Source organism: Homo sapiens, chromosome X, assembly GCF_000001405.40.
Source record: "Homo sapiens chromosome X, GRCh38.p14 Primary Assembly".
In the NCBI taxonomy this organism is placed as follows: Eukaryota; Metazoa; Chordata; class Mammalia; order Primates; family Hominidae; genus Homo; species Homo sapiens.
The window spans coordinates 65,808,534-65,825,971 of record NC_000023.11 but is presented as its reverse complement, the minus strand read 5'-3'; the positions used below and the strand labels follow the sequence as shown (position 1 = coordinate 65,825,971).

At 42.0% G+C, this 17,438-nt stretch overlaps 1 pseudogene, besides 1 other annotated feature; it reads left to right on the top strand.

The window, feature by feature from the left end:
• Window positions 3,492-6,823, top strand: CCNYL5 (cyclin Y like 5 (pseudogene); annotated as a pseudogene).
• Window positions 3,510-3,659: a silencer, noted in NCBI's record as "silent region_20883". NCBI's record gives its function as "represses an Ori minimal core promoter by ATAC-STARR-seq in GM12878 lymphoblastoid cells {active_cell/tissue: GM12878}" and the evidence as "EXISTENCE:reporter gene assay evidence [ECO:0000049][PMID:35858748]".
• Window positions 6,824-17,438: the final 10,615 nt, after the last annotated feature.

The following is a 17,438-nucleotide window of genomic DNA, read 5'->3' as shown; positions in this document are numbered from 1 at the left end:
CACGGTAAACCAGAATACCTCTGGTTTTTGGAATGTTAGCTCTCCAGGGTTTCCAATGGAGAATTTGGCATGTTTACCCTTGATGGGTCCAGAATTTTAATACTTGACTCGACACAGTTTAATGGCACTTTACTTTCAAAAGTTTTCTTTTTTTTTCTTTTTCATTTTATTATTATTATACTTTAAGTTTTAGGGTAGATGTGCACAATGTGCAGGTTAGTTACATATGTATACATGTGTCATGCTGGTGTGCTGCACCCATTAACTCGTCATTTAACATTAGGTATATCTCCTAAAGCGATCCCTCTCCCCCTCCCCCCACCCACAACAGTCCCCAGAGTGTGATGTTCCCCTTCCTGTGTCCATGTGTTCTCATTGTTCAATTCCCACCTATGAGTGAGAATATGCGGTGTTTGGTTTTTTGTCCTTGCGATAGTTTACTGAGAATGATGATTTCCAATTTAATCCATGTCCCTACAAAGGACATGAACTCATCCTTTTTTATGGTTGCATAGTATTCCATGGTGTATATGTGCCACATTTGCTTAATCCAGTCTATCATTGTTGGACATTTGGCTTGGTTCCAAGTCTGTGCTATTGTGAATAGTGCCGCAATAAATATACGTGTGCATGTGTCTTTATAGCAGCATGATTTATAGTCCTTTGGGATGGCTGGGTCAAATGATATTTCTAGTTCTAGATCCCTGAGGAATCACCAAACTGACTTCCACAAGGGTTGAACTAGTTTACAGTCCCACCAACAGTGTAAAAGTGTTCCTATTTCTCCACATCCTCTCCAGCACCTGTTGTTTCCTGACTTTTTAATGATTGCCATTCTAACTGGTGTGAGATGGTATCTCATTGTGGTTTTGATTTGCATTTCTCTGATGGCCAGTGATGGTGAGCATTTTTTCATGTGTTTTTTGGCTGCATAAATGTCTTCTTTTGAGAAGTGTCTGTTCATGTCCTTCACCCACTTTTTGATGGGGTTGTTTGTTTTTTTCTTGTAAATTTGTTTGAGTTCATTGTAGATTCTGGATATTAGCTCTTTGTCAGATGAGTAGGTTGCGAAAATTTTCTCCCATTTTGTAGGTTGCCTGTTAACTCTGATGGTAGTTTCTTTTGCTATGCAGAAGCTCTTTAGTTTAATTAGATCCCATTTGTCAATTTTGGCTTTTGTTGCCATTGCTTTTGGTGTTTTGGACATGAAGCCCTTGCCCATGCCTATGTCCTGAATGGTAATGCCTAGGTTTTCTTCTAGGGTTTTTATGGTTTTAGGTCTAACGTTTAAGTCTTTAATCCATCTTGAATTAATTTTTGTATAAGGTGTAAGGAAGGGATCCAGTTTCAGCTTTCTGCATATGGCTAGCCAGTTTTCCCAGCAACATTTATTCAATAGGGAATCCTTTCCCCATTGCTTGTTTTCATCAGGTTTGTCAAAGATCAGATAGTTGTAGATATGCGGTGTTATTTCTGAGGGCTGTGTTCTGTTCCATTGATCTATATCTCTGTTTTGGTACCAGTACCATGCTGTTTTGGTTACTGTAGCCTTGTAGTTTAGTTTGAAGTCAGGTAGAATGATGCCTCCAGCTTTGTTCTTTTGACTTAGGATTGACTTGGTGATGTGGGCTGTTTTTTGGTTCCATATGAACTTTAAAGTAGTTTTTTCTAATTCTGTGAAGAAAGTCATTGGTAGCTTGATGGGGATGGCATTGAATCGATAAATTACCTTGGGCAATATGGCCATTTCTCTTTAGCTTTTTAGCCTTCTGAGCTCCAGAATTTGGCAACCATCTTAAGGCAAAAACCAGCTATTCATAGGCTCAGCTCTCTGCCTTTCTCATGTAACTGTGCTCTGCCATATTCTCCTGTTTTGTTTCTCCAGCACCAAGGCACTACCAAAAGCTCTGTTGGTTTCTCTAACTCTCAGCAGCAGCCTTCTGACTGGGGCCATGTCTGTGTTTTCAGCCTACTGCAAACCAGAAAGCAGAAAATACCCACAAAGAAAAAGTAGCTGTACAAATGTTAGTTCACCTCTCTGCAGATTTTACAGGCTCATAGGTGGAAGGAGCTTGCCTTGTCTCAGATGAGACTTTGAATTGTGGAATTTTGGGTTAATGCTGAAATGAGTTAAGAGTTTGGGGGACTGTTGGGAAGGCATGATTGGTTTTGAAATGTGAGGACATGAGATTTGGCAGGGGCTGGGGTGGAATAATATGGTTTGGCTCTGTGTCCCCACCCAAATCTCATCCTGAGTTGTACTCCCATAATTGCCATATGTTATGGGAGGGACCCAGTGGGAGACAATTGAATCACGGGGGTGGTTTCCCCCATACTGTTCCCATGGTAGTGAATAAGTCTCACAAATCTGATGATTCTATCAGGGATTTCTGCTTTTGCGTCTTCCTCATTCTCTCTGCTTACTGCTGTCCATGTAAGATCTGACTTGATCCTCCTTGCCTTCTGCCATGATTGTGAGGTTTCCCCTGCCACGTGGAACTGTAAGTCCAATTAAACCTTTTTCTTTTGTAAATTGCCCAGTCTCAGGTTTGTCTTTATCAGCAGCGTGAAAACGGACTAATACACCAACCTACACCATCCTACCTTGGTCTTAAGATACCTGCACGCACACACACCCTCACCTACACTATTTCTCATTCCCTGATTTTGCAACTTGCCTTGCATCCTAACATCAAATCTAAAATGGTCTTTCTGACATTCCAATTTCTTTTTAGCAGCAACATAGCAACAATATTTTGTTGTCTTACTTTGAACCGTGATTAGTTAAAGTCCCCAGATATCATGACACCAAATAGTTGCCAGGCTAGGCCTCCTCCTTTACTTCTCATGAAATTCATTAAAAAAAAAAAAAAACTTTTATTTTAGGTTCAGGGGTACATGTGCAAGTTTGTTATGTAGGTAAACTTGTGTCACTTTTTTTGTAAAGATTATTCCATCACATACGTACTAAGCTTAGTACCCAATAATTATTTTTCCTGATCATCTCTCTTCTCCCACCCTCCACCCTCAAGTAGGCCCCAGTGTCCGTTGTTCCCCTCTCTATGTCCATGTGTTTGAATCTTTTAGCTCCCACTTATAAGTGAGGGCATGTGGTGTTTTGTTTGCTGTTCATGCATTAGTTTGCCAAGGATAATGGCCTCCAGCACCATCTATGTTCCTGCAAAGGACATGATCTCATTCTTGTTTATAGCTGCATATTATTCCATGGTTTATATGTACATTTTCTTTATGCAGTCTGTCATTGATGGGCATTTAGGTTGATTCCATGTCTTTGGTATTGTGAATAGTGCTGGGGTGAATATACACATGCATGTGTCTTTATGGTAGAAGTATTTATATTGTTTTGAGTATATACCCAGTAATGGGATTACTGGGTTTAATAGTAGTTCTGTTTTTAGCTCTTTGAGGAATCACCACACTGCTTTCCACAATGGCTGAACTCCCACCAACAGTATATAAGTGTTCTCTTGGCAGACAAGTCAGCTCACCGGAGGCGGAGGCAGCGTGGCGGCTGGGGTGTGGCGCAGGACCGAGCCCTGGCGGAGCAGGGCCGCGGGGCGGGCGGGTGAGCCCTGGGCGAGGTGGCCTCTGCTTGCTCAGTGTCCCCGCGCCATTGTTGGGGGAGGGGGCTGCTGCTGAGCGAGGCAGAGTAGGGCGCAAGCGAAGGCGCCAGAGGCGGCGGAGAGGGGCGGAGGCGCCCCATGGGGAACACGCTGACTTGTTGCGTGTCCCTCAATGCCAGCCCCAAGCTGGGCCGGCGCGCCGGATCCCCGCGTCCGACATCTACGAGGCGGCGTCCGGGGACGAGGTGGCGGTAGCGCCTGCTGCTGCGGAGCCTCCCGAGTTTGATTTCGGAGAAGGCGAGGGCCACCACCTGCAGCACATCAGCGACCGCGAGATGCCCAAAGATTTAGCATTGGAGTCAAACCCTTCTGACCATCCAAGGGCAAGCACAATTTTCCTGCGCAAATCTCAAACGGATGTGAGAGAAAAGAGGAAGAGCAACCATTTAAACCATGTATCTCCAGGGCAGCTTACTAAAAAGTATAGCTCATGCTCAACAATATTTCTATATGACAGCACAGTCAACCAGCCTAACCTTAGAACCACAGTAAAATGTGTGACCTTAGCAATATATCACCACATAAAGAACAGAGATGCAAATAGATCCCTGGATATTTTTGATGAGAGATCACATCCACTTACACGAGAAAAAGTTCCAGAAGAATAGTTTAAGCATGATCCTGAGCACAAATTTATTTACAGATTTGTTCATACTCCTTTTAGTGCTGCACAGCTAACAGCTGAATGTGCAATAGTAACTTTGGTTTACTTAGAAAAGCTTTTAACTTATGCTGAAACCAACATTTGTCCCACTAACTGGAAAAGGATTGGTCTGCGAGCCATTCTTGCCTCCAAGGTTTGGAACCATCAGGCTGTATGGAATATGGACTACTGCCAGATCTTCAAGGACATTACAGGTGAGGACATGAATGAAATGGAAAGGCATTTTTTGATGCTTCTTCAGTTTAATCTTAATGTTCCTGCCAGTGTTTATGCCAAATACTACTTTGATCTTCGCTCCTTAGCAGATGACAATAACCTGAATTTTCTATTTGCTCCTCTTAGCAAAAAAAGAGCACAGAACCTAGAGGCTATTTCTAGATTGTGTGAAGACAAAGACTTGTGGAGAGCCCTATGAGAAGGTCTTTCAGCACTGATGACTTCATTGGTATTCAGCACTCTAAAGCCATCCTCTCTTAAAGGGAGAAATGAGGGGTTATAACGTCACAGGACCTTTATCTACAAAGACTGGAGAAATATCACCTTTCCTGCTCAAAACCCAGCAAAATTAGTGTTTTCATTAAAAGGATAGATCTCGAATTCAAGAGATTCATGGACAACAAGGATTGTACTCCATAGAAAAGAATGGGACCTTGTCAATGCAACAAAACATTCTTCTGTCCTTTTTAATGTAAACAGAGTTACAAAAAACACTCCAAAGTGAAGGTTCCTTTCCCACACAGATATTTGCTTACTATATGGGCTGATAGCTGTGAACTATGTAAGGTTTTTTTAAACAATAGTTTAAATTTTTAAACTTTAAAGACACTAACCATATAACTTTTATGCTTTTTCCAATTTTTCTCCCTCCCCACATTTTGCTGCATATGCCTTTAGAATCAATGCAGTATTATCATTAAAACATGGTACTCTAAAGACACTTAGGAGCAGACTGCACCATTGTTAGGTAATGAAGGATTCTTCCTCCCTACCATTGAAGCTGCTAGTCATAGGCAATCATTTTAAGCCAAAAACCTGCTGGATAACATTTGTCATTCATATTCTTTGCAAACATTACTTTAGCATTTTAGCATGTTTGGGGTCATAAACAGAGGAAGTATCGTTATTGATATCTACTTCTTTTATTTATTTATTTTTTATTATACTTTAAGTTCTGGGGTAATGTGCAGAACGTGCAGTTTTGTTACACAGGTATACATGTGCCATGGTGGTTTGCTGCACCCATCAACCCGTCACCTATATTAGGTATTTCTCCTAATGCTATCCCTCCCCTATCCCCCCACCCCCCAACAGGCCTCGGTGTGTGATATTTCCCTCCCTGTGTCCATGTGTTCTCATTGTTCAACTCCCACTTATGAATGAGAACATGCAGTGTTTAGTTTTCTGTTCTTGTGATAGTTTTCTGAGAATGATGGCTTCCAGCTTCATCCATGTCCCAGCAAAGGACATGAACTCATCCTTTTTTATGGCTGCATAGTATTCCATGGTGTGTATGTGCCACATTTTCATAATCCAGTCTATCACTGATGTACATTTGGGTTGGTTCCAAGTCTTGCTATTGTGAATAGTGCTGCAATAAACATACATGTGCATGTGTCTTTATAGTAGCATGATTTATAATCCTTTGGGTATATACCCAGTAATGGAATCACTGGGTCAAATGGTATTTCTAGCTCTATATCCTTGAGGAATCACCACACTGTCTTCCACAATGGTTGAACTAATATTACACTCCTACCAACAGTGTAAAAGCATTCCTATTTCTCCACATCCTCTCCAGCATCTGCTGTTTCCTGACTTTTTAAAGATCACCATTCTAACTGGCATGACATGGATTTGCATTTCTCTAATGACCAGTGATGATGAGCATTTTTTCATATCTTTGTTGGCTGCATGACTTCTCCTTCTTCTATTGGGGTCCATGTTGCATTTCTTGTGAACTAAGAATGATGCTTCTCATTTTCTGATAATTTTTCCCTTGTTAAATAAGTGTATTAATACATATTTTCATAATGCCAACCAACATGGTGGCTTAGTGACAATGAAAAAAAAAAGTAAAGCGGTTTTAAGCTTTAATATAGCTCAGGCCCTCGAAGGCACTGCAGCGTGAGTATAAATGCTATGAACCTTTTAAAAAACATCGTTTGAAAAAATTTTTTTAAGAGATGAGGTCTTGCTCTGTTGTCCAGGCTGGAGTGCAGTGGCTGTTCACAGGTGCAATCATGGTGCACTGCAGCCTAGAACTTCTGACCTCAAGCCATCCTCTAGCATCAGTGACATGAGTGGCTGGGACTACAGGCACACCTGGCACTTGTCTCCTGAATAGTTTAATTTTTTGTTTCAGTCACTTTTGAAGATAGCAGACTTTCACTGAGGCAAACAATTAAAAGCTTTATATTAAAAATTTGCAAAATGAAGCTGGGTGTGGTGGTGCATGCCTATAATCCCACCTGCTTGGGGGGCTGGGGTTGGAGGACTGCTTGAGGTCAAGTATTGGAGGCTGCAGTGCACCATGATGGTGCCTATAGGAATTGCTACTGCACTCCAAACTGGACAACATAGCGAGACCACATCTCTTAAAAAAATGCAAAATTAAATGCGAAAGAAAAGGGCTGGACATAGTGATTCATGCCTACAATCTCAGTACTTTGCATGGCTGAGGTGGGAGGATTGCTTGAGCACAGGTGTTCAAGACCAGTCTAGGCAACATATTGATACCCTGTCTGTAAAAAAAATAATAATAAATAAAAATAATTAGCTGGATGTGGTTGCATGTGTCTGTAGTCCTAGCTACCCTGGAGGCTGAGGTCGGAGGATCACTTGAGCCCAGGAGGTCAAGGCTGCAGTGAGCCATGATCATGCCACTGCACTCCAGCCTGGGTAACTTCCAGACCCTGTCTAAAATAAAAAAAGAAAAAGAAAAACGTTCAAACAAGTTTTTGTAAAGGTTTGTGGTTTGTAGCATTTATACTTCTACATATATCAAAGCTTAAAATTACACTAAACTTTTGGAATACCTTGTATCTCCATAAAATGCCCTCCTCTTTTTAAAAGTAGCTACTTGCAGGGTTGTGCTCTATATGCTTTGATCACCAAAGTTTCTTTAATGTAAAGGAAGATTTTGAAGAGCAGTGTTAATTAGCATGTAATAAAAGGAAATGGACCCTAATGATAGAAGGTGATATGAACAGTTCTTTTATCATCCTACGTTACCAAGCTGTAGGTGTCCCATTAAGTCCTGCTATTTAAGAAACTACTTACATAACCCTTAGGAAGTCTTACTTCAGGCTTTAAAAGGCAAGGAGCAAATAATTTTAGGAGACTGATAACAAAGTCACCTAAATTTGAAATATTAAAAAGAGATTAGTGTTCTAAACTAGATGAAATCTATTTCTGGCCGGGTGTGGTAGCTCACACCTGTAATCCTAGCACTTTGAGAGGCTAAGGCTGGCAGATTACCTGAGGTCATGAATTCGAGACCAGCCTGGCCAGCATGGGGAAACCCCGTCTCTACTAAGAATACAAAAATTGGCCGGGCGTGGTAGCGTGCACCTGTGGTCTCAGCTGCTTGGGGGACTGAGACAGGAGAATTGCTTGAACCCGGGAGGCGGAGGTTGCAATGAGCAGAGATGGTGCCACTGCACTCCAGCCTGGGCGACAAAGTGAGACTCTGTCTCAAAAATAAAATAAAATAAAATAAAATAGAAAAGAAAAGCTAATAAACTCTATTTTAATTTTACAAAAAAGTGTTCTCTTTTCTCCACAAGCTTGCCAGTATCTTTTATTTTTTTGATATTTTAATAATAGCCATTCTGACTGCTGTGAGATGGTCTCTCATTGTAGTTTTGATTTGCATTTCTCTAGTCATCAGGAATATTGAGCTTTATTTCATATGCATGTTGGCCACATGTATGTCTTCTTTTGATAAATGTCTATTAATGTTCTCTGCCCACTTTTTAATAGGGTTGTTTGTTTGTTTTTTTCTTGGAAATTTGTTAAAGTTTCTTATAGATGCTGGATGTTAGACCTTTGTATGTTGCATAGTTTGCAAATATTTTCTCCTGTTCTGTAGGTTGTCTGTTTACTCTGTTGATAGTTTCTGTTGCTGTGCAAAAGCTCTTTAGTTTAATTATTTCCCATCTGTCAATTTTTGCTTTTGTTGCAGTTGCTTTTGGTGGATTCATCATGAACTCTTTGCTAGTTCTTATGTCCAGAATGGTATTGCCTACGTTGTCTTCCAGGGTTTTTATAGTTCTGGGATTTACATTTAAGTCTTCAATCCATCTAGAGTTGATTTTTATATATTGTATAAGGATGAGGTCCAGTTTCAATCTTCTGCATAGTGCTAGCCAGTTATCTCAGCACCATTTATTGAATAGGGAGTCCTTTTCCTGTTGCTTTTGTCAGCTTTGTCAAAGTTCAGATGGTTGTAGGTGTGTGTCCTTATTTCTGGGCTCTCTAATCTGTTTAATTGGTCTATGTGTCTGTTTTTCTATGAGTACCATGCTATTTTGGTTGTTGTAGCCCTGTAGTATAGTTTGAAGTTTGGTGATGTGATGCCTCCAGCTTTGTTCTTTTTGCTTAGAATTGCCTTGGCTATTTGGGATCTTTTTTGGTTCCATATGAATCTTAAAATAGTTTTTGCTTTTTCTTTCTTTTTTTGTTTTTTGAGAGGGAGTCTCGCTCTGTTGCCCAGGCTGGAGTGCAAAGGCACGATCTCAGCTCACTGCAACCTCCACCTCCCGGATTCAAGTGATTCTTCCAACTCAGCCTCCCAAGTAGCTGGGATTACAGGTACCCATCATCACGCCCGGCGAATTTTTGTATTTTTGTAGAGATGGGGGTTTCACCATGTTCAGGCTGGCCTTGAACTCATGATCTCAGGTGATCCACCCTCCTCAGCCTCCCAAAGTGCTGGGATTACAGGTGTGAGCCAACACATCTGGCCTTAAAATATTTTTTTCTAGTTTGGTGAAAAATGTCATTGGTAGTTTGATATAGTATTGACTCTGTACATTGCTTTGGGCAGTATGGCCATTTTAATGATACTGATTTCTCCTGTCCATAAGCATGGAATGTTTTTCCCTTTGTGTCATTTTTGATTTCTTTGAGCAGTGTTTTGTAATTATCATTACAGAGAACTTTCTCCTAACTGGTTAGTTGTATTCCTAGGTATTTTATAATTGTGGCAAATGTGAATGGGATAGCATTCCTGATTTGGCTCTCAGCTTGACTGTTGTTGCATAGGAATGCTACTGATTTTCGTACATTGATTTAGTATTCTGAAACTTTATGAAGTTGTTTATTAGCTTAAAGAGCTTTTGGGCTGAGACTATGGGGGTTTTCTAGATATAGAATCATGTTGTCTGCAAACAGGAATAGTTTGAATTTCTCTCTTCCTATTTGGATGCTTGTGATGGTTAATATTGAGTGTCAACTTGATTGGATTGAAGGATGCAAAGTATTGTTCTTGGGTGGGTTTGTGAGGGTGTTGCAAAGGAGATTAACATTTAAGTCAGTGGACTAGGAGAGGCAGACCCACCCTCAATCTAGGTGGGCACCATCTATCAGCTGCCAGCATGGCTAGGATAAAAGCAGGGAGAAGACATGGAAGGACTTGAATGGCTAAATCTTCTGGCCTCCATCTTTCTCCCATGCTGGATGTTTCCTGCCTTAGAACATCAGACTCCAAGTTCTTCTGCTTTTGGACTCTTGGACCTACAGCAGTGGTTTGCCAGGGACTCTCAGGCCTTTGATCACAGACTGAAGGCTGCACTGTTGGCTTCCCCACTTTTGAGGTTTTGGGACTCAGACTGGCTTCCTTGCTCCTCAGCTTGCAGACAGCCTACTATGGGACTTCACCTTGTGATTGTGTGAGTCAACACTCTTTAACAAACTCTCTCTCATATATACATCTATCCTATTAGTACTGTGCCTCTAGAGAACCCTGACAAATACAATGCCCTTTATTTCTTTCTCTCACCTGGTTTCTCTGTCTAGGACTTCCAATAGTATGCTGCATAGGAGTGGTGAAAGAGGGCAACCTTGTCTTATGCCGGTTTTTAAGTGGAATGCTTCTAGCTTTTGCCCATTCAGTATGATGTTGGATGTGAGTTTGTAATAGATGGCTCTTATTCTTTTGAAATATGTTCCTTCAATAAATAGCTTATTGAGAGTTTTCAACATGAAGGGATGTTGAATTTTATCAAAAGGATTTTTGCATCTATTGAAATAATAATGTGGTTTTTGTCTTTAGTACTTTTTAACTAATGAATCACATTTATTGACTTGCATATGTTGAACCAACCTTACATCCCAGGGATAAAGCCTACTTGATTATGATGGATTAACTTTTTGATGTGCTGCTGGATTTGGTTTGCAAGCATTTTGAGGTCTTTCTAACTTTATGATATGGGCATTTACTGCTATATATTTTCTTCATAACTCTTTCTTATCTGTGTCCCAGAGATTCTGGTATGTTGTATCTTTGTTCTCATTAGCTTCAAAGAACTTCTTGATTTGTCTTAATGTTATTATTTACCCAAAAGTCATACAGGAGCAGGTTGTTTAATTTCCACGTTATTGCATGATTTTGAACATTTTTTATTCTTTATTTCTGTTTTATTGCACTGTGGTCTGAAAATGTGTTTGGTATGATTTTGATACTTCTGCATTTGCTAAGGATTGTTTTATGTCCAATTGTGTGGTCTATTTTAGAGTATGTGCCATGGGGCAATGAAAAGAATGTATATTCTGTTGTTTGGGCATGGAATGTTCTGTAGAGGTCTATCAGATCCATTTGGTCTAATTTTGAGCTCAGGTCCTGAATATCTTTGCTAATTTTCTGCCTTGATGATCTGTCTAATACTGTCAGTGTAGTGTTGAAGTCTCCCATTATTACTGTGCAGCAGTCTACATCTCTTTTTAGGTCTCTAAGAAGTTTCTTTATAAATCTGGGCACTCCTGTGTTGGGTACATATATATTTAGGATAGTTAGTCTTCTTGTTGAATTGAATCTTTTACCATTATGGAATGTCATTTTTTGTTTTTCTTTTTAATCTTTGTTGATTTAAAGTCCATTTTATCTGAATTTAGGATTGCAAGCACTGCTTTTTCTCTGATTTCCATTTGCTTAATAAATATTCCTCTATCCCTTTCTTTTGAGACTATGTGTGCCATTGTACATGAGATGGGTCTCTTGAAGACAGCATACCATTGGGTATTGCTTTTTTGTCCAGCTTGTCACTCTATGTCTTTTAAATGTGGCATTTAGCTCATTACATTCAACGTTAGTATGGATATGGGTAGATTGGATCTTGTCATTTTGTTGTCAGCTGGTTACTATGCCAGCTTATTTGTGTGGTTGCTTTATAGTGTCACTGGTCTGTGTACTTAAGTGTGTTTTTATAATGGCTGGTGAATTAGTCTGTTCTCACACCACTATAAAGAAATACCTGAGTCTTGGTAATTTATAAAGAAAAAAGGTTTAATTTGCTCACCATTCTTCAGGCTGTACAGGAAGCATGGCAGCATCTGCTCAGCTTCTGTGGAGGCCTCAGGAAACTTACAGTTGTGGTGGAGGACAAAGGGGAAGCCAGCACTTCACATGGTTAGAGTAGGAGGAATCAAGAGAGGGGGGAGGTGCCACACACTTTTTAAACAACCAGATTTCACCATGATGATAACAGCACCAAAGAGATGGTGTTAAACCATTCATGCAGGATCCACCCCCATGATCCAATCACCTCCCACCAGGCCCTACCTCCAACATTGAGGATTATAATTGAACATGAGATTTGGGTGGAGACACAGATCCAAACCATATCATTCTTCCCCTGACCTCTTCCAAATCTCATGTCCTTCTCACATTGCAAAATGCTATCATGCCTTTCTAACAGTCTCCCAAAGTCTCAACTCATTCTTCATTAACTCAAAAGTCCAAACTCTCATCTGAGACAATGCTAGTCCATTCTGCTTATGGGCCCATAAAATTTTAAAAAGCTACCTACTTCCAAGATACAATGGAGGAATAAGCATTGGTTAAATACTCACATTTCAAGAGGGAAAAATCAGACAAAAAAAAGGCTACAAGCCCCATGCAAGTCCAAAACCCAGCAGAGAGCCATTAAATTCTAAAACCCCAAAATAGTCTCCTTTGACTCCAGGTCATACATTCAGGGCATACTGGTGCAAGTGGTGGACTCCCAAGGCCTTGGACAGTCCCGCCCCTGTGGCCTTGCAGGGTTGTCACCACCACTGCTCTCAAGGTCTGGCATTGAATGCCTGCAGGTTTTCCAGGCACAGAGTGCAAGCTTCCAGTGGATCTACAATTCTGGGGTCTGGAAAATAGTGGCCTTCTTCTCACAGCTCCACTAGGCAGTGCCCCAGTGGGGACTCAGTGTGGGGAATCCAACCCCACATTTCCCTTCCTCACTGCCCTGAAAGAGGTTCTCTATGAGGGCTGTCCTGCAGCAGACTTCTGCATGGACATCTAGACATTGCCATACAGCCTCTGAAATCTAGTTGGAGCCTCCCAAGCCTCAACTCTTGCCTTCTGTACACCCACAGGCTTAGCACCACATGGAAGCCACCAAGGATTGTGGCTTGAGCCCTCTGGAGCAGCACCCTGAGACGTATCTGGGGATCTTTTAGCCATGGCTGGACCTGGAGTGACAGGAACACAGGGATCAGTGTCCTAAGGTTGTGCAGGGCACTAGGACTCTGGGCTTAGCTCACAGAACCATTCTTCCCTCCTAGGCCTGTGGGCCTGTGATGGGAGGTGCTTCCACAAAGGTCTCTTAAATGCATTCAAGGCATTTCCCAATTGTCTTGGCTATTAACATTCAGCTTTTCTTTAGTTATGCAAATTTCTACAGCTAGCTTGAATTCCTACCCCCAGAAAATGGGTTTTTCTTTTCTACCACATGGTCAGGCTGCAGATTTTCTAAACTTTTATGCTCTGCTTCCCTTTCAAATATAAGTTCCAATTTCAGATCATCTCTTTGCTCTCCCACATATGAGCATATGCTGTTAGAAGCAGCCAAGAAACATCTTGAACACTTTGTTTCTTAGAAATTTCTTCCACTAGATACCCTAAATCATCACTTTCAAGTTCAAAGTTCCACAGATCCGTAGAGCAGGGGAACAATGCTGCCAGTCTCTTTGCTAAATCATAGCAAGAGTGACCATTACTCTAGTTCTCAATAAGTTCCTCATCTCCATCTGAAACCTCCTGAGCCTGGACTTCACTGTCCATATCACTATCAGCATTTTGGCCACAAAAATTTAACAACTCTCTATGAAGTTCCAAACTTTCCCTCATCTTCCTGTTTTCTTCTGAGCCCTCCAAACTCCTCCAACCTCTGCCCATTACCCAGTTCCAAAGCTGCTTCCACATTTTCAAGTACCTTTATGGCAATATCTAACTCCTGATACCAATGTTCTGTATTAACTTGTTCTTGAACTGCTATAAAAAAACAACTGAGATGGGAAATTTATAAAGAAAAAAGTTTAATTGACTTACAGTTCTTCAGGCTGTACAGGAAGCATGGCAGCATCTGCTTTGCTTCTGGGGAGGACTCAGGAAATTTACAACCATGGTGGGAGGCAAAGGAGAACCAGCACTTCACATGGCCAGATAAGGAGGAAGAGAGAGAATGGGAGGTGCCACACACTTTTAAACAACCAGATCTTATGAGAGCTCACCATCATGAAAACAGCACCAAAGGGATGGTTTTAAACCATTTCTGAAGGATCCACTCCAGTGATCCAATCACCTCCCACCAGGCCCCACCTCCAGCATTGAGGTTTATAATTGAACTTATGATTTGAGTGGGGACACAGATCCAAACCATATCAGCTGGTAATAATCATTCCTTTCCATATTTAGTGCTCCTTTCAAGCTCTCTTGTAAGGTGGGTCTGGTGATAACAAACTCTCTCAGCATTTGCTTATCTGAAAAGGATCCTGTTTCTTCTTCACTGAGGAAGCTTAGTTGGGCAGAATATGAAATACTCAGTTGTAGATTTTTTTTCTCTAAGAATGTTGAATATAGGCCCTCAATCTCATCTGGCTTATAGGGTTTCTGCTGAGTGGTTCACTGTTAGCCTGGTGGAGTTGCTTTTGTAGGTGACCTACCCTTTCTCTCTAGCTGTCTTTAATTTTTTTCTTTCATTTCGACCTTAGAAAATCTGATGGTGATGTGTCTTGGGGGTAATTTTTTTGTGTAGAATCTTGCAGAGGTTCTCTGTGTTTCCTGAATCTGACTGTCGGCCTCTCTAATGAGGTTGGGAAAGTTTTCATGGATAGTATCCTTAAATATACCAAGTTTTCCAAGTTGTTTGTTTTCTCTCATCACTTTCAGGGATGCCAGTGATTCATAGATTTGGCCTTTTTACATAATCCCATATTTCTCAGATATTTTATTCATTCCTATTCATTCATTTCACTTTAATTTTGTCTGACTGTCTTATTTCAGAGAGCCAGTCGACAAGTTGCAATATTCTTTCCTCAGCTTGGTCTATTCTGCTTTTAATATGGGTGCGGTGGCTCACACCTGTAATCCCAGCATTTTGGGGGGCCGAGGTGGGTAGATCACCTGAGGTCAGGAGTTTGAGACCAGCCTGGCCAGCATGGTGAAACCCTGTCTGTACTAAAAATACAAAAAGAAATTAGCCGAGCATGGTGGCAGGCACCCATAATCCCAGCTACTCGGGAGGCTGAGGCAGGAGAATTGCTTGAAACTGGGAGGTGGAGGTTGCAGCTAGCCAAAATTGCACCATTGCACTCCAGCCTGGGCAACAAGAGGGAAACTCCATCTCAGGAAAAAAAAAAAAAAAAAAAACCTTCTGATTGCATTCTGAAATTCTTGTAGTGTGTTTTTCAGCTCTCTCTTATCAGTTATGTTCTTTTTTATACTAGCTATTTTGTCTGTCAACTCCTGCATCATTTTATTGTGATTCTTAGTTTCCTTGGATTGGGTTTTGCTATCCTAAATCTTGATGATCTTTGTTCCTATCCATACTCTGAATCCTATTTCTATTATTTCAGCAAACTAATTGTGGTTAAGAACCCTTGTTGGAGACCTAGTGTAATCATTTGGAGGACATAAGACACTCTGGCCATCTGAGTTGCCAGAGTTATTTCATTGGTTCTTTCTCATCTCTGCTTGTGGTGTTTCTTTAACTACTGGGCTGTCTCTGATTGAAATGGTCAGGCAAGTGCAGGGTGGATGTACTGGGGTCCCAGGTAGGGTGACCCTGCCCAATAAGGAGAAGTGAGGACCAGGACCTACATGGAGAACAGTCTGGCCACTTTTCCATGAGGTGGAAGTCTGGACAGGCCCCTGGTTCTCCTGGACTCTCCAAAGCCTGGAGACAGCAAGGATGAGCACTGCAAGACAGCAAATATAGCAACCCACTCCTCCCACTGGGGCTCTCTCTCTCAAGGAGGTGCAAAGCTGCTACTGGCTTGATATTCCCAGTGGGCTGTGACTGGAGACCCAGGCTGGGAGGACCCACCCAGTGAGGAGATATGGGAATGGGTACCCATGTAACAGTCCGTCCACTTTTCTGTAAAGCTGCTACAGTATTCTGGGGGTCCACGCCGGTCCCTAGTCACCTCAGATTTTATAGCACCTGAGATATCAACAGTGAAGGCTGCAAAACAGCAGAGATGGCAGCCTGCTCCTCCCTCTGGGAGCTCTGTCTCAAGGAGGTATAGGTCTGTTCCTGGCCCAAACACATTGGTGGGGGTGGTTGTAGACTTTGACTGGGAGATTCCTCCAAATGAAGTAAAAAGGGATCTGGGACCACGTGAAAAAGCAATCTGGCCACTTCACTGTAGAGCTGCTGCACTGTGCTGGGGGACTGCTCCAGTCCCTAGTCACCTTAGACTCCATAGAGCCTGAAGGCAACAACAGCTAAGGCAGTGAAACAACAAAGATGGCTGCCCATCCCTCCCCCTGGGAACTCCATCCCAAGGAGGCCCAGAACTGCCACCAGGAAAAGTGGCTGATGACCTCGGTCAGGGGGTCTCACCCAGTGAGAAGAAGCAGGATCAGGGACCCGAATTAAAAAGCAGCCTGTCCACTTTTTCTGTAGGGTGACTCCAACAACAGCAAAGGCTGCAAAACAGAAAAGATGGTGGCCTGCCCCACCCCTCTCTGGAAGCTCCGTCTCAGAGAGATGTAATGCCACTACCAGCAGCTGGCTAGAGTTCCAAGTCAGTGGGTCTTATTCTGCGAGGTGACATGGAAACAGGGCCTGTAAACCATCACTGCTCAGCCTTCTGGATTCAGCCCTTTTCCTAGGGATATGTATGGCAGTCTAACCTCCCACTTTGCTGAAGTTGTAGCCACTTTTGCTGGGAAGCCCAGATATCTAAGGCTCCCTAGGGCTTTGTGTGTGTCTGAGCATCTGCTGTGCCAAGACTCCACATAGCTCTGCATATCAGACTGCAGACCCTGGTGGAGTGGGTTCATGAGGAAATCTCCTGACCCAAGAGTTGCAAAGACCCATGGGAGAAGCATGGGTCCTCGAGGTCACTCACTCACTCATTGCTTTCCTGGGTGGGGGTGGCTTCTCTGGCTCTGTGTTGATCCTGGGTGGGCAGTCATCCTGCCTTGTTTTTCTCCATCCTCCATGGGTTGAGTTATTTTCTTGATGGCTGGTAGTGGTTTTTCCTTTCCATATTTATCCACATTCTGATCATTCTGATGCCACTTCTATTATTCCTTAAGGAGCTCTTGTAATGCAGGTCTGATGGCAGTGAATTTCCTCAGCATTTGCTTGTCTGAAAAGGATTTTATTTCTCCTTCACTTATGAAGCTTGGTTTGGCCAGATATGAAATTGTGGGCTGGAATTGATTTTCTTTAAGAATGTTAAATATTGACCCCCAATGTCTTCTGGCTTGTAGGGTTTCCACTGAGAAGTCTGCTTCTCAATGCATTAGTCTGATGGGCTTCCCTTTGTAAGTGACCTGGCCTTTCTCTCTGGCTGCCCTTAACATTTTTTTATTTCATTTCAATTTTGGACAATCTGATAATTATGTGTCTTGGGGATAATCTTCTCATGAAATATTTTACTGGGGTTCTCTGCATTTCCTGAATTTG